At 47.5% G+C, this 17,621-nt stretch overlaps 1 protein-coding gene across 2 annotated transcripts in view, besides 2 other annotated features; it reads left to right on the top strand.

Annotated features, from left to right (window-relative positions):
* Window positions 1-17,621, top strand: part of SH3PXD2A (SH3 and PX domains 2A) — a 261,550-nt gene that overhangs the window by 7,932 nt on the left and 235,997 nt on the right. The gene's annotated exons all lie outside the window — the stretch shown is intronic.
* Window positions 11,878-12,433: an enhancer, noted in NCBI's record as "H3K27ac-H3K4me1 hESC enhancer chr10:105594970-105595525 (GRCh37/hg19 assembly coordinates)". NCBI's record gives its function as "activates a minimal SCP1, AML or CMV promoter by ChIP-STARR-seq in primed H9 embryonic stem cells {active_cell/tissue: H9 hESC(primed)}" and the evidence as "EXISTENCE:reporter gene assay evidence [ECO:0000049][PMID:30033119]".
* Window positions 12,434-12,990: an enhancer, noted in NCBI's record as "NANOG-H3K27ac-H3K4me1 hESC enhancer chr10:105594413-105594969 (GRCh37/hg19 assembly coordinates)". NCBI's record gives its function as "activates a minimal SCP1, AML or CMV promoter by ChIP-STARR-seq in primed H9 embryonic stem cells {active_cell/tissue: H9 hESC(primed)}" and the evidence as "EXISTENCE:reporter gene assay evidence [ECO:0000049][PMID:30033119]".

Genomic DNA, 17,621 nt, shown 5'->3' with positions numbered 1-17,621 from the left:
AGTTTTAAATGCAGTGCTTCAGCTGGGCATGGTGGCTCATGACTGTAATCCCAGTGCTTCAAAAGGCCAAAGTGGGGAGGATCACCTGAGGCCAGGAGCTCAGACCAGCCTGGACAATGTAGCAAGACCCCATCTCTACAAAAAAATTAAAAAATAAGCCAGAATAAGCCAGGTGTGGAGGCATGCGCCTGTAGTTCCAGTTACTCAGTCGGCTGAGATGGGAGGATGGCTGGAGCCCAGGAGGTTGAGCCTGCAGTAAACCGTGATCACACCACTGCACTCCAGCCTGGGTGACAGAGTGAGACCCTGTCTCAAAAAAAAAAAAAATTCTAAAAAGCTAGGCATCGTGATGAACACCTGTAGTCTAGCTACCCGGGAGGCTGAAGTGGGAAGATCACTTGAGCCCAGGAATTGGAGGCTGCAGTGAGCTATGATTATGCCACTGCATTCCAGCCTCGGCAACAGCAAGACCCTGTCTCTAAAAACAAATAAGTAAATGCAATGCTTCAAACTACCTCTTCATTTATTTGACCTCTACCACACTCCCAGATAGTCTAGTAAACCTTATTCTTAGGGAAAATGTAACAATAAAAATAACAGCTGACCTTTCTAAATGTTTTCTATGTGCTAAGCATCTCATATGGATGTTCTCAGAACAGCCCCACGCAGCATGTAGCTCCCACCAGCATCCATACTGTACAGGTGACAGCACAAAGGCTCAGAGAGCTCAAATGAATTGCCAGATGCCACGCAGCTGATGAGCTGCATGTGGAGAGGCCTGCACTGACCCAGGTCTGCTGGCTCCAAAGCCTGCCCTGTCCCCACAGAGACCGCTTAATGACACATTACACACCCAGGATGCCTGGGCTCCATGGTTCCACCTTAGGCCTAGTTGGTTGGCTCCTCAAGCCGTGAGATCTTCCACATGTCACCTCCCCCTTCTAGAACTACATTTGCCCATCTAGAAAATGGTGCAACTGTTTCTTTTCAGGCTTGCCTTGCAGAGCGGAGGGCAGGTATAACAGCTGCTTTGGAAAGCACTGAGCCCAGAGATGATAGCTGTGTGAGGAGGTCCCTTGATCCCCCAGTCTGGGTTCTTAATTATCTAGGGCAGGGATGCTATACAAAGTGAGTTGTTCCTGACCCCAGGGAATTTTTAAACAAGGTTCACCTGCCCAGCCACCTCTCCTGAGAAGCCTCATAGACAGAGTCGACTCAGGAGTACTTAGGCTCTTAGTGAAGATCTCTTCTAGAAAACGGCCTCTGGTTTTCCTTCTTTCCAAACCAATCATTTTTTTGTGAACAGGAAAAGACAGAGTTATTCCCAGTCCCATCTCTCCCTGCTGTTACCTGAGCGGAGGAAGTGATATCTAAGTGGCTGAGTTAGCAAAGGGGAAACAGCTGTGGTTTCTGCCACTCCACTGGGCTGCTTTCTCTGTCCCTGTGCTGTCATTTCCCTTTGGCTGGCGAGGAAGCCACCCTCCCCAAGCCTGGGCGGAGGCCCATGGCTGGGTCGGGGTAGACTCTGTGTGTGTGTGTCAATGCAGCATAAATTATGCAGTGGGGCGGGTGGGACAATTTAGCCTGTTTCTGGGATCCCTGGAGCATGAACTTTAGACCTGTTGGAAACTGATCACTCTTACCTGATCTGACCACAACTTCAGGGAGTCAGGAATGGAAGTAATGCCCCATGTTGAGAATGAACTTGCAGGGTGTACCAGGTGGGGTAGGGATTGATGGAGTGTGGGCTGGTTTGCACTTTTGCCTATCACTGTGTGGTCCCTGATGGAGAACCTACGTTGTTTTCCTTTTTTGAGGCGTACTCTCACTAAAGGAGACCTTGGCACGTATTGTATCACCATCATCATCATAGAGCTGTTACAGGAAAGGGGTCCCGATCCAGACCCCCAGAGAGGGTTCTTGGATCTCCAGCAAGAAAGAATTCAGGGCAAGTCCATAGAGTAAAGTGAAGGCAAGTTTATTAAGAAAGTAAAGGAATAAAAGAATGGCTGCTCCATAGACAGAGCAGCCCCGAGGGCCACTGGTTACCCATTTTTATGGTTATTTCCTGATGATATGCTAAACCAGGGGTGTATTATTCATGCTTCCTCTTGTGAGACCATATAGGGTAACTTCCTGACATTGCCATGGCATTTGTAAACTGTCATGGTGCTGGTGGGAGTATAGCAGTCAGGATGACCAGAGGTCACTCTCGTTGCCATCTTGGTTTTGGTGGGTTTTAGCCGTCTTCTTTACTGCATGCTGTTTTCCCTTTTTTTCTTTTTCTTTTTCTTTTTTCTTTTTTTTTTTTTTTGAGATGAAGTCTCGCTCTGTCGTCCAGGCTGGAGTGCAGAGGCGCAATCTTGGCTCACTGCAACGTCCACTTCCTGGGTTCAAGTGATTCTCGTGCCTCGGCTTCCCGAGTAGCTGGTATTACAGGCGCACACCACCATGCCCGGCTAATTTTTTGTTTTTTTTTTTTTGGTGGAGATGGGGTTTCACAGTGTTGGCCAGGCTGATCTCGAACTCCTGACCTCAGGTGATCTGCCTGGCTCAGCCTCCCAAAGTTCTGGGATTACAGGTGTGAGCCACCACGCCCAGCCTACTGCATACTATTTTATCAGCAAGGTCTTTATGACCTGTATCTTCTGCTGACCTCCTGTCTCATTCTGTGACTTAGAATGGCTAAACATCTGGGAATGCAGCCCAGTAGGTTTCAGCCTTGTTTTACCCAGCCCTTATTCAAGATGGAGTTGCTCTGGTTCACATGCCTCTGACACAGCTACCACATATTGAATTCCCATTTTGTGCCAGGCATTGCATGGCCTTTGATTTATAACCTCTGGCCCCAGGGTGGCCATGAAGGTATGCATTTTTAACCCCATTTGACTCATATGGAACCTGAGGTTTGGAGAGTGCAGGTAGCATTGTTAAGAAAGCACAAACCCAGGCAGATGTGACCTCCCTCCCCTTCCCCAGCCTGCGCCTGGTTCTACACCATCACTGTGTCTTACACACTTGGTCCCTTTTCAGGGCACCCAGGGCTACAGGGGCTTCTGTGAGAAGGTGCTCCTCATGGGGAACTTGCCCTGGTTGCTTTTGCCCATCTAAGTGTTCAGAGCATATAGGGATTGTCCCTGTCCTTTGAAGTGACTGCTTTGTAAACTCTTTCATGATAGGCCCAATTCTGACCCAGCGTTATCCCATTTCCTGATGGCCCAGACCCAAAAGGCTATTTTAAGGGACTTGCCTGTGTGGGAGAATTTCTCTCTGTAACAACAGAGGAGGAGGCCTGGCCGGCCTGGCATGGGGCTGGCAGTGGAGCTCCGAGAGGGTGAAACTCTGTCCTGAATTCTGCCTCCTGGGCTGGAACAGATTAGTTGAGCCCTCAGCGCAGTGCCTGGCACCCAGAAGGGATAGAATCACTTCTTGATGAGTGTGAGATTCCCAGAGGTGGCAGCCCAGGGATTTCTGCTGGTCAGAGCCTCAGTGGGCTGGCAAACTGATGCTTCTCTTGCAGAGTTAAGGTCCGTAATAGAACAATGTCTGCACTTTGGTCTCAAGCTGGGATTAATTACTGACTTTAGTCATCACTCATTGGCAACTTGAAGCAAGCAGCCTCATGTTTTTTGTTATTTCTGAACGTGGCAGCTCCCAGGCAGGGGAAGTGGGGATGTCAGGTTAGAGAATGTATGGGTGGAGTCCATTTTAGATGCAGGCACTTGTCTCATTTAATCCCCACAGCAAACCCTGGTCATCATCTGTGTTTTATAGGGGAGGAAACTGAGGCTCAGGGAGGTGCAGCATCTTGCCCCATCACTGGCAGCAACAGTGGGAGCCAGGGTTGCATCCCAGATCTCTTCAGGAACAAAGCCCGACGGCTTTATCTGACAGCTTCCCTAGGGGATGGGGAGCTAGGGAGCTCGTCACATAGGTCCTGGATAAAACCCCAAAGGGCTGAATTAAACCCCAGGTCACCTGCCCATGTGACCCTCCCTCTGAGCCCCTCCCTGAAAACATGATGTGGTTGGAGCGGATGTTAAGATATGATAACAAGCTTGCTATAGGAACAGATCTGTGCCAAGGTCTGGCCTCTATTTGCAGGTTCAAATTTGTATTCCCCTTGAACTCTTGCCCAGGGCCACTTTTGAAGGCCTGGCCCTTCAGAGGGTTCAGCTGCCAGTCTCCACATCCTCCTCTTGGGGATGGTGGATAGCATGGCACTGTGGTAGGGAGCATGGAGGAGTTTAAGTTCCTGGTATTTTCAGCCCCATGCTTGCTTAGGCAAAACCAGGCTCTGGAAACCAGAGTAAGCACTAAGAGAGGGACTTGGGTGCCAGCAGTTGGAAGTTGAGGGCAAGAGGATAGGGGCAGAGCATCGGCAGCTGCTGTCATGGGCTGTGGCTCTGAAGCTGGCTATGAATCACAGCCCTGCCACTCATTAGCTTGTTTCACTTGGCCAAGTTTCTTCACCTCCTGGGCCTCAGTTTCCTAAGTAAAATGGGTATAATAATACTACTACCTAACCCATATGGTTGTTACTCATATGATAACTGTTCCATAAACGGCACTATTGCTATCACCAGCGTTATCATCCTTCTTGATTTTGCTCAGTTTCTGCCATCTCCTGGAAGCTTCCCTGACCTCTCATCTTAAAATGACATTTCCAGTCTACGAATTTTTATAATGTTAACTGTTTTACCTCTCATTTAACACTTACCAAGAATGACCTTGGATTGTTCAGCCTTTGGCAAGCTGATACTTACTCATATTCATTCATTCATTGTTTCATTCAGTCAATATTTGAATGTTTACTATGTGTCAAGCGCTGGGAACACAGCAGGGCAGATAAAAATCCCTGCCCGTTTAGAGCTTACATTCTGGTGTGGGAAAGGAAACAATAAACAAACAAATGACACCCTGTCATTTGCAGCAACGTGGATGGAACTGGAGGTCATTATGTTAAGTGAAATAAGCCAGGTGCGGAAAGACGGAAAGACGAATATTGCTGTCCTCACTCATAGGTGAGAGCTAAAAAGAGTAGATCTCACAGAGGTAGTGAAGAGTAGAATGGCGGCTACCAGAGGCCAGGTGGGAGGAATAAAGAGAGGTTGATTAATGAATACAAAAATACAGTTGGGTAGAAATAATACGTTTTAGTATTTGATAGTACAGTAAGGAAATTGTAGTTAACAATAATCTATTGCATATTTTACAGTAACTAGAAGAACTGGAATGTTCCCAGTACAAATAAAAGATAAGTGTTTGAGGTGATGGATATCCCCATGACCCCGATTTGATTATTACACATTGTATACAGGTATCAAATTATCACAGGTACCCCCAAAATTTGTATAACTATTATATATCATTTAAAAATAAGAATACAATAACAAAATAGGTCAAAAACATAGTGTATGAGATGGGGGTTGAATGGCGTAGGGAAAACTAAAGCCAGGTGAGGGAGACAGGCATGTTGGTGATGGTGGGAGTTGCTGTGCTTTTTTTTTTTTTTTTTTTGAGACGGAGTCTCGCTCTGTCGCCCAGGCTGCAGTGTAGTGGTGCGATCTCGGCTCACTGCAAGCTCCACCTCCCGGGTTCACGCCATTCTCCTGCCTCAGCCTCCCGAGTAGCTGGGACTACAGGCACCCGCCACCACACCCAGCTAATTTTTTTGTATTTTTAGTGGAGACAGGATTTCACCATGTTGGCCAGGATGGTCTTGATCTCCTGACCTCGTGATCCACCCGTCTCGGCCTCCCAGAGTGCTGGGATTACAGGCGTGAGCCACTGCACCCGGCCTTGCTGTGCTATTTTATAGAGGGTGGCCAAGGACAGCCCCACTGTAGAGGTGGCTTTTGAGTAAGACTTGAGGGAGGTGAGGAAGTGAGCCCTGTGGCTATCTGGGGGAAAGTGGTTGAGGGAGAGGGAACAACAGGTGCCAAGGCCCCGAGGTGGCTGGTGTGGCCTGAGTGGAGTGAGAGAGGGGAGAGCAGCAGGTCATGGGGTCAGATAGGGAAAAGGGTCACGTTGAGCCTTGTATCCCTCCCCACCCTGCACAGCATGCTCTGCTCAGCAGTGAGGCCTCATGATGACCTAATGGAGACTGAAACTGGCCAAAACACTGCCAGAGAGGTGGCTTCAAGGACTGCTTGGGGTTTGACCCTGACCCCCTTTAAAAGAGACCTCCTGGGGAAACACAGTCTCCATCAGCAGCGTCATGGGTAGGAACTCCAGGGCCCCAAAGGCAGGGTACACACCAGGAAGCTTCACTGGCTGAACATTATTTTTGTGCCTACTGTGTGCAAGGTGCTGTGTTGAAAGCAGTGCTCCAGCTGGGAGCCAGGAGGCAGGTAGGGGCGTGAATTCCTGCAAAAGCAGCGACCACATCCTTTCATCTTTAACGCCCCCTCCTCATGCTAGCAGAGGGTCTGGATCATGGTGCGTCCTGGATCAGTGTGATAAATCCCTGGACAAAGGCTTCATTCTACTAAAGCCCCTTCCCCTCCGACCTCATACTCCTATTTTTACTGAAGCTTCTAACTTACAGTTGCTGAAGTTAGTTGTTAGAAACTCAAAACACATGTTCCTATCAGTATTGTATCGTAAATGGTGTTAAGATTCTCAAGTCAGCCCACCAAAACTTTTCTCATCCTCAGAGTAGATTTGTATCCCTGACAACCAGATATCTCTAGTTCACCTACAGCATAGGCTAACCTGGGAGCCTAAATGCTGTGTGTAACATCCAGGGAAACTGTCTTCCATTGTTCACAGTGAGAAGGAAACCCTAAGGCTACATAACAATAACAACCGTAACAACAGCAGCATGAACGATGTGCCCGCCACTAAGCACATCACTCATTTAATCCTTGCAACAGACTATGAGAAAAGCACTATTATGGTCCTTCCATTACTCAGAGAGAACAGAGGCAGAGAGAGATGCATGAGATGCATTTACCAATGGTCACAAGCTAGGAAGGGGCAGAGCCGGGTTCAGAGCCAGGCAGCGGGACTCCAGAGTCCTTCGCGAAACCTCTTGTTTCCTGGCCTTCCGGGAATCCCGCCAGCCAGCCTTGCTGCAGCCCAGGGTGGCTGTCTGTAGACCTTACGTTCAGGACACTTGTCATTAGGTGTTAACAAGTGTCAGGGTGAGGGAACAAAAGCCACGGGTGGCCAGTATGAGCAGTTTCTCTTTCTTCTCCCAGACAGGAAAAACCATTTGTTTCTGGAACCTGACACTGCAGGGGGTGGGCTTGGTGTATGTGGCCGCCTTCCTGGGCCATTTACAAGTGCAGCACATGGGTCTGGGGAGGGGGCTGGGCCGGGGTGGCGATGTGTTTATTGGTGGAAGCTAGATTAGGGTGTCTGGCAAGATGTTTTTGACACCTAGACCATTCCACTCAGTGAAACCCAACAGGTGGCCAGGCTGTTGCTTTAGCTGGAAGCGGGGCAACCTCCCCGCCCTGCCCTGTTCAGTTTATTGTTGGAATGAGATGGGTCCTAACCAGTCCTTCCTCTCTTCCCTGGCCCCAAAATAAACAGCAGCTGTTGTTGGCGCCATCATTTCTGCCTCTGCCAGTCTGTCAGCAGCGCTGGGCTCTTGCCTGGCCTTGCCCTTTTTGATTTGATGGCACTGGGCGTTGGGAGCCCTTTACCTTTGCCCTACGGAGCCTGCCCTGCTGACCAGCTGGTGTGCCCTAACATGCCCTCTCCCAGGCCTGGTGGCTGCCCACTGGCACTGTCCTCTCCGGCCCTGTAGTGAGGCATGTGTGCATGGCGGTTGCAAACTCGGACTCCAGAATCTGACATCCATTTGCCCCCTGGTTCGGCTGCTTAGTTGGTGACTTTGGGGAGGTAGTTTAATGCTGAGCCTCAATTTCCTTCTCTGTAAGGGCAGCTGTTAGTATCTGTATCATGGGATGTTGTGGAGATTATGTTGAGGCAGCCAGTGGGAGGCCGACTGCCTGACGGGAATCCCAGCCTTGCCACTCAGGGGCTGCGTGGCCTCTGGGGAGGGGCTGCGTGGCCTTGGGGGTGGGGCTGTGTGGGCTTGGGGGAGGGGCTGTGTGGCCTTGGGGGAGGGGCTGCAGCTTTCTGCACCTCGGTTTTCTCATCTGTAAAACGTTGATAATAAAAGCATCTCTCAGGCTGGTGATGAGGATGGCACGGGTTAATTAACGTAAAACAGAAAACACTCAAAACACTGCCAGGCACAGAGCAAGAGCTCAGTGACTGGAATAGCATATGCTCTCCGTCAGAGAAGGCGGAGCATCCCCTGAAAGAATCCTTCGCATGTGCATGTTCAGAGCTGACACAATTGCTGTTCTCCTGACCTGACTTTTGGGTCTGTACTACCGAGCTAATTTGCTTGGCCTCGTGTCGAACCTGTGATTAGAACTTCCACTTCAGGGTGTAGGGGTGTTGGTGGAACTAGTGATGAAGGAGGCTGGAGGCATGAAAAAAGAGAGTTGGGATTTCTATTCTACTTGCTAGTGGTTCTGCTGATGTAATGTAAGAAATGGAAAGAAGATTATGTCCACAGCCAAGGGCCGCCTTCAGAGCTGGTGAGCAGATCCCACGCGGGGTTGACCATTTATCTGTGCTGATGTGCACGCCCCAAGACGTTCTTCTAGGTCTGTATGTATGTTGATGTTCTGGACACCCTCCCTGTGGGCTGGCAGCTGGGGCCAGCTCATTTTGGCCTCTTCCTGGCTCTGTGCTCTGGGAAACTCTTGCTGTCTTTGGCTTTTCCTTGCTTTTTCTCTCCATTTTGGAAAGATTGTACTGGGAACCCCCATTAGAACATCCAAATGGAAAAATCTTTATTCTCAAAAAGAAAAAAAAGTCATTGGCCCTGATTGTGTTGGGCCACAGTGCCAGATGCCGCCGTGGGCACACCGATGCCTGGTAAAGATCCCCCACTTAGGACCGAGCTGTTACACGGTCTCCCCAGGAGCCTGGTCCTGTAGGAGAGGTGGCTGCCTGTGCTGTTTTGCCTCCCTGGCCTTTGGCAGTCCTTGTCCAAGGAGAGAGGGCAATGGTAGCTCCATTCCCAACATTTGGGGTGCTGCCTTCTGACACATTAGTGAAGAGAATGGTCTGAACCTTAGAGAGGAAAGCAGCAAAGTAGTTCAGAGAGGGGGTTCTGAAACCAGACTGCCTGAGTTCAAATTTCAGCTGTGCCATTTATTGCTGTGTGGCCTTGGGTGAGTCACTTACCCCCTCAGTGCTTGGATTTCCTCTTCCGTTAATATGAGGATAATAGTACCTTCCCCATAGGGTCGTTAGGAGGATTAAATGCCGATGATGGCAAAAGCCCTGCTAAGGTGCCTGGTGCAGAGTTAGTGCTCCATGTTGCTGCCATGATTTGCACCCACACCGCAGGTGAGTCTGCTTCCCATCAGCCCAGAGCCCCTGGGGCCTGACAGGTATATATTTAGAGCCCTTGAGAGGGCCACATGGTGTTTGTGACAGAGGTGTCTTGGATGGAACCTGTGGCATGTTCTAGAGGAAGGGCGAGTGTAAAGATTCAGGCCAGCAGGGGATTTCCTAGCTGAGTTCTGTGAGGAGTCCTTCACCCTGGGGGCTCAGTTTCCGCAGCTAACCATGCCCATGCCTCCCTTGTTGGTTGGCTGCAGAATCAGAGACACCATGAGGCATCCGGTAGTCACTTTCCTTCACGGTGGCTGTTCAAACAGCTGTGAGGCTTGGCGAGGGCCCCAAGAGGCGGCTCAGTGGGCTCTGGCCTTTCCCACTCTTTCCTGCACTCTCCTCTCGAGAGCAGCCCTGAGTTGTGCAGGGCTGTGGGTGCAGCAGGTGACGGTGTCTTCTGCAGGTACTGTGTGTGTCCTAGTTTGCAGAGCTCCTCACATCCACAACTTCTCTGAGGGGTGCTGCTGGGAAGTGCTACAGTTCTCCTGCCTATTTCACAGACAAGGAAAGGCTCAGAGAGGGTCCGTGACTCCTGGAAATATGGTGGGCACTGTTGATGCCTGCCCCACGTCCCCTGGGCTCACCTGAGTTCACCTGCAGTGCCCCAGCTGTGGCATCCAGCACACTGACAGCTCCCCACCTCACCTGTCTGTGTGAGCACTCCCTCCTGGGCCATGGCCCCAGGGAAGCTTGCTCTGCCCAAGTGGGTGCACCTGAGAAAGACTTGGGGAAGGTAGGGGGCTAATTGTCATCCCTGGAACCCACCCTCAAGTGGTGGGGAATGGGAGTTATCAGCCTGGATCCAAGGCCTTGTCTTAGGGTCGGCTTCAGGAAGAACCCAACTAGGATAGCAAACTTCTCCTGCTAGCAAGTGGTAGAGCTAGGACTGAAAACCTCTGTCTGGGACTCCCAGGTCCCCACACCAGGCTGCCTGTCCGGTGGTGCCTGTCTGGAGGTTTATGGGTTTCTCGTTAGAGAGGAGTCAGATAAGAAACTTGTTTGATGAGGTCTTCTTGATAATAAGAGGGCAATTTCCTGAGTAGGTAAAAGAATAGAGGGCTGAAGAATACTTGATAAGTACAACAGCTTCTAGGGGCCCACCAGGGAGGAGCTCAGTCAGTGCAAACACGATAGGCGGGCCTTGGAAACAAGGGAACCCGGCCTTATGTAGACTTGCCTCAGGAAACAAACGAGAGACTTAGGGATAATAGAAATCTAATATCTTCATCCGTCACTCATCAGGCTGGGAGGAGCAGCATCAGTAAGTGTCTAAGGAAACGGAGAGGGGCTGCCGGCTCCTGTGCCCAGGTGCAAGGTGACATATATGAGCAAGACGCTCTGCTTGTTTGTAGTAAAATTCCCTCTGTAAAATCGGGCTAGTTGGCAGAGCATTGGACATTATGAACATGAAAGCTTCTTGTGATGGTGTTTCAAATTGTGGAGACACTAGTGTGTTTTTAGAGATGGTGAGAACATCTTTAAGAAAACAAAGGGAGAAAAGAAGGGGTGTGTGTGTGTGTGTGTGTGTGTACATGTCTGTGAGTGTGGAGTGTGTGTGCACTCGTGTGTTGGGGAATGTTGCATGTGTATGGACATGTCTGTGTGGGGGTTTGAGTGTGGACTGTGTGTGTTGGATGTGTTGTGTGTGTATGGATGTGTCTGTATATGAGTTTGAAGGTGGAATGTGTGTATTGGGGGATGTGCTGTGTGTGTATGGATGTGTCTGTGTGTGAGTTTGTGGAGTGTGTGTGTTAGGGGATGTGTTATGTGTGTATGGATGTGTCTGTGTGTGGGTTTGAGTGTGGAATGTGTGTGTTGGGGATGTATTGTGTGTGTATGGACATGTCTGTGTGTAGCTGTGAGTGCAGTGTGTGTGTGCATGTGTGTGCTGGAGGATGTGTGTGTGTGTAATAAAAGCTGTTGGCATATTCCTGGGGCAATCTTTTATCCTTGAGAGCCCCCTATGATCAGGCTAGGGGGTCCAAGAATACTTAGATTTTAGTATAAAAGGGTCTCATAGATCTTTGCATATACTTACAATAACCACCTTTGATCTTTTCCTCCATTGCCTCTTTGGTGCCAGGCAGGTGCCCATAGACCTCATTTCATGCTCTCAAAAGAGACTGTGTTTCTCCCCTTTATAGATAAGGGGCCTGAGAATCAGAAAGGCTGAGTCACTCACTCAAGGTAACACAACTAGGAAGACGCGGTACTGGGATTTGACCAGCCTTTAGTCCATCCTTTGCTGGTTCCTCGTCCAGTGAAGGGGGAGCTTGGTGAGATTCAGCCAAGCCTTTGCTCATGCTGAAAGGGGCCTCCCTCTCCACTTGGGGCACTTGCTCTAGAAACGTGATTTCTGGCTTCAGTGAAGGCCAAGGAGGAAGTATAGGGAGCAGAAGGCTCTGAGGCCTGGCTGCATGAACTATAGAGTGGTGCAGGTGTGCTGTGAGGACCTGCTTCAGGGAAAAGTTGTTGTGACCCAGAGGAGGGTAGAGCTGCACGGGAGACTGGAAAATCAGCGAAGACTTGGTGAGGGGTTGGGGGGGCGGCCAAAAGACCAGGACGTCCTTGAGTTCACCCCCCTGGGCCTCCAGGAGAAGAGACTGTAGAAAATTCTAGCTGGGTAAAGAACTTTATGTCTAGTTTTCATACCCTGTGAGCATCTGTCAACCTGTTTGTTTACATGGTCTGATTTCTCCACCGTGTGGAGATTCCATATCCAGGTGTGTGAGGATGGGGCAATGCAGATCCATCGTTGTCTGCTAAGCGATTTCACTTCGAATAAGGGAATGGCAGAGAAACAGACCTTCCCAGTCTGGATTCCTGGAAGGGATCGCGGGTGGACATTTCGTCATTGTGAGTTCTTGGCAGACAGAGGCAATGGGGCCACCCGAGTTGCCTGGCTGCTCCCACCCCTGCGAGCTCACGTCAGAGCAGTGGGAAATCCCACGGAAGCTGCAATCCCAGATGCAAGTCTGCATGGGGCATTTGGGATTTACTCCCAGCCTGGGCCTTTCGTACCCTTTGGTTTCCAGAGCTGCTGGGAGAGGGCTTCCTGGTACCTAGCCAGCTTGTGACTCCAAACAACTGCTTGAAAGCAGACAGCTTCTGCCAGTGTCCCCAAGAACCTTAAAGGGCCACCTCTGCCCCACCTGTGTGCTCCAACATCAGCCAAGTCTGGGAGGCAGGCAGACTCATTCAAGGCAGCCTGAGCAGCACAAATGTTGAAAAATTATCCTGCAATAAATTCCCAGGCCCAGAACTATTAAGATAAGTGTGAACCTACTACAGCATTAACTTGCATGTTGGTTCAGCTGTCTACTGACTTAGATTAGGTTGTAGCGGCCCACATAGTGGTTACAGGCCGCAGGGCTGCTTGAGAGAGTTGGAGTTCACCACCGGCCATGTGACTTTGGGCAAATTACTTAATCTGCCTGGGCCTCAGTTTCTTCATCTTTAAAATGAGGATGATAAAGTAGCACCAACTCCTAGAGTTGGTGGCTGGCATAAAAGCAACGTTAATGGTAAAAATACCAGAGACAGCAGGTGCTTGGCATCCCCACTGTGCTCCCTGAGTGGTGGCCCATGCCGAAGCAGTTGGCTCCCTCCCTTTTTGGAACAGCTTTATTGAGATATAATTCCCATACCATAGGACCAATTCACTTAAAGAGTATGATTCCAGAGTTTTTAGTATATTCAGAGTTGCACAGCCACCACAGTCAATTTCAGAACATTTTCATGTCCACCAAAGAAACCCTGTACCCTTTAGCCATCACCTGTGACCACCACCCTAGGCAGCTATGAACCTGCTTTCTGTCCCTGTGGACTGGCTTGTTCTGGACATTTCATATAATGGAGTCATACACTACCTGGTCTCTTGTGACTGGCTTCTTTCACCAGCATAACATTTTCATCTACCATCAGCCCCTTCATTGGCTCGTAGGGTGAGCTGGATTCCTTCCATGTGGTGGCCGAGGGGTCCTGGACACAGCCACTCCCCATGGCCCTTGCAGGGCTGGCCTCTGCTCCTGAGTTCAGGTTCCATGAGAGCATTTCCTCTTGCCACCTTGCAGAGTGTGTGGATTTTCTCCCCTGCCCCAGCACCTTAAAGCTGGCCAGAGCTGGGTCTTTCAGGAAGTGTTGAACTCTCCTGCAGTTTATTCCCATTGCTTCCTCTGGCCTGGTTAGAGACGTGGGGGAGGGGTGGAAACTGGGCAGAGCCTTTACTGATCTGTTCCCCAGGGACTCTCTTTCCGGGAGGGGGAGGGGAGAGACAGACAAAAAAGCATCTTTATTTGTTTTTAATGTTGACTAACTCCCCAGCCCTCTTACCAAGTTCTGGTGAAAGTTGCTGGGTTCCTGGTCACGCTGTCCTCCCTCAAAACACAGGGTCATAGGACTTCTCTCTTGGGGGCAGCTAATAGGGAAGTGGCCAAGTGTTCCACACACAAGAGTCAGGCTGCATTTCTTTTCCTCTAGCAAAGGAGATCCAGTGCAAAACCAGTGAATCGTTAGGAGGCGTTCAGTTGCAAGCAACAAAATCCCAGCTGAAACAATCTCAAGCCATGTGGAAATTTATCATCTCACTTTCAAGAAAGTTCGGGTAGATAATAAGGAATTATAACTTTTAAAAAAAGATTCCTCTGTTAATGAACATTTAGACTGTCTCTAACTTTTTCGCCACTTCAAACAATGCTGCTCTAAACATCCATATATAAATATAAATATATAGATATAAATATATATATATATGTCTTTGGGAACTTGAGCTACTATTTTTGTAGGATAAATTATTGAAGTGACATTAATAAATAAGACAGGTTAGGATTTATGTCAGATGGGTCAGTTCACATTTAATCTGTTGTCCTATACCATCTGTATCTAAATCCATCAAATGAGAAGTGATGTTTACAGTGAAGACCATTGTGGATCCCTCATACCTATGGAATCACTTCATGGACATTGTATTATTTTGCATTTTTTCCCACTTATGGCTGGGCAGCAGGCTAAAATAATGCTTAGATGGAAAAGACGTAACATAAAGGGCTTCCTGGTTAACCACCAGATATTTAGAATATTCTATACCCTTGAGTGCCATAGTTAGCAATTTTGTTCAAGAGAGTTTGTGATTCTCTGTTAGAAAGTACAGGATGAAAAGCCTAATAATGCTAAGTGTTGGTGAGAATATGGGGAAGTGGGAACACTTACGTAGAATTTTAAGTGGTGTAACCACTTTGGAAAACAATGTGGCAATATCTAGTAATTTGAAGGTGTGCTTATCATGTGACCTGGTGGTTCTACTTCTATTTTTTTTTCTTTTTATTATACTTGAAGTTCTAGGGTACATGTGCACAATGTGCAGGTTTGTTACACATGTATACATGTACCATGTTGGTGTGCTGCACCCATTAACTCGTCATTTACATTAGGTATATCTCCTAATGCTTTCCCTCCCCCACCCTGCCCCAGTGTGTGTGTGATGTTCCCCTTCCTGTGTCCAAGTGTTCTCATTGTTCAATTCCCACCTATGAGTAAGAACATGCGATGTTTGGTTTTTTGTCCTTGCGATAGTTTGCTGAGAATGATGGTTTCTAGCTTCATCCATGTCCCTACAAAGGACATGAACTCATCCTTTTTTATGGCTGCATAGTATTCCATGGTGTATACGTGCCACATCTTCTTAATCCAGTCTATCATTGATGGACATTTGGGTTGGTTCCAAGTCTTTGCTATTGTGAATAGTGTGTAGTATTTTAGATATTATTTAGAGAGTAGATAGAAATTTATTATTTCCTCCAGATCAGCTGGTTGAACCTTGTTTTCTTTTCTTTTTTTTTTTTTTCTTTTTAGGTTCTACTTCTAAGTGTATACCTTAGATTCTAGGGTGTAGAGACTATCTCCCAAGTGCACATGAGAAGACACGTGCAATGATTTTTATTGCTATGTATTTGTAAGACAGACAAATTGGTTTATCAGTCAGAATGGGATAGGTTAAGTTACAGGAACAAACAGCCCCCAAATTCTATTTCTTGCTCATACTGCCTGTCCATTGGAGTCATTAGGGGCTGCTGCTCGTTGTAGGCACTTGAAAACTGAGACTTGCAAAGGCCTAGAGTGCTTCCATGGTCCCTGGGGCATGGGGAGAGAGTGTAGCAGTGTCCGGCAGTGGCAATTAAATGCTTCTGTCCATGAAATATAATTCTGCCATAAAAATGGAATGAAGTGCTGATTCATCCTGCAACCTGGATGAACTTTGAAAACATTATGCTAAGTGAAAGAAGTCAGACACAAAAGGCCACAGGTTGTATGATTATATTCATATGAAATGCCCAGAACAGTTAAATGCATAGAAACAGAAAGTTGGTTAGTTGTTTCCGGGAGCTGGAAGTATTGAGGAATGGAGAATAACTACTAACTGCCATGAGGTTTCTTTTTGGGGTGTTGAAAATGTTCTGGAATTAGATAGTGGTGATGTATTAGTTGCATAATTCTGTGAATATACTAAAAAAACACTGAATTGCACACTTTAATTAGTTAATTAATTAAATTTATTTTTGTAGAGACTGAGTCTTATGATGTTGCCCAGGCTGGTCTTGAATTCCTGGGCTCAAGCAATCCTCCCACACTGGCCTTCCAAAATGCTGGGATTATTGAGCCACCCTGCCCAGCCAAATTGTACACGTTAAAATGGTGACCTTAATAGTATATGAGTTATGCCTCAATTTAAAAAAAATGCTTCTGTCCAAAAATAACACATCCCTTGGCCAAAGAGGTCACCTGGCCACACATACCTTCAGGTTGTTGAGGAAGCACAATTCTACCATGTGCCTGGGAAGGAAAAGAATTGGTATATTCAGTGAACAGCCCTAATGGCTACCACTTGGAACAGTACAAATGCCAATGGTTGGATAAATAAGGTATAGGATATTCACTGATGGAATTCTGTACAGTTAATATGAATAAGATCTGTAAGTGTCAACATGAAAAGATCTCCAAAACAGTATTGAATGAAAAAACAAGAAGTAGAATATTATCTCTGATACCATTTATGTAAATATTATTTATGGAAATATCGATCCATTTATGTAAATTAAAAATTATTCACAAAACAATAGTGTGTAATGTATGGTTACATATGTTTGTAGTAAAAGCATGCAAACACAGACTGGAAGGATGCTTCGCACCTGTCTTGTATTATGACTGTTCCCACCTAAAAATGTAGATCATGTGTTGGTTCTTCTGACCAACTGGGGAAATTCATCCTATTTTTCAATTTATTGCGTATTCTCACCATTGCAAACCCTCATCCTGACTTATTTTTATTTTTTCTTTTAGCCCTAATCCTCAATCCTATCCCTTTTCCTCTTAGCCATCCTCTCTAATTTGTTTAACCTAAGCCTGTGTGTCCTCAGAAAATAGGTTATGCTGTTGGTGTGTGTGGTTGGTAATCTATATACATGGTGTTATGCTATTGATTTTGTTTGGTAATCTCCCTTTTTACTCAATACTATATTTATAAGATCCATTTAAGTGGTTGTATGCCTCTACTTTATTGCTTCTGACTGCTGCATGGTATTCCATACTCATGTCCACCACACTTACTCATTCTCCCTCTTGATGGACGCTGAAGTTGCTTGCCTCCAACACCCTCTACTGCAAACATTGCAGCAGCAGACATCCTTATATATTGCAGCCCTAAAACCTCCACAAAGATTTCTCCAGGAGTGGGATTGCTACTGAAAAGCCATATGACAGTATTTACTTAAATGCAGTCTGTGTGCATGAGGGTTCCCAGCTCTCCTACATCCTCATCAACACTTGGTAATACCCGGAAGACCTTCCAGCCTATTGGCACTTCTCCCTAAGGACCGATTCAGCCTACATTGGAAGACATAGTGAGTTTTAATCTCTTCCTATCATTCCTTCCTGGCCTGTCTCCCTTGTCTGGAATGAAAGTTCTTTTTATAATTTCCTACCCAGTTCTCACTGATAGGACCAGAAACCCGAAACCTTCCTCCATTATCTTAAGAACTCAGCCAGTTTTTCAAAACTAAGCCTCCTTTGTTTTTTTACTTAATCCGAAATAAACCTCTCTTATCTTGTTTTCCCCTCTTTGCTCAGGGCCTGGAAGCCTCACTGGCCATTCTTGTGGATTGCTCCAGAAATGGCCCCTGAGAGGTATTGCTTCA

Source organism: Homo sapiens, chromosome 10 (genome assembly GCF_000001405.40).
Source record: "Homo sapiens chromosome 10, GRCh38.p14 Primary Assembly".
In the NCBI taxonomy this organism is placed as follows: Eukaryota; Metazoa; Chordata; class Mammalia; order Primates; family Hominidae; genus Homo; species Homo sapiens.
Note: the sequence above shows the minus strand (reverse complement) of the source record. Positions and strands in the feature narration are given on the sequence as shown.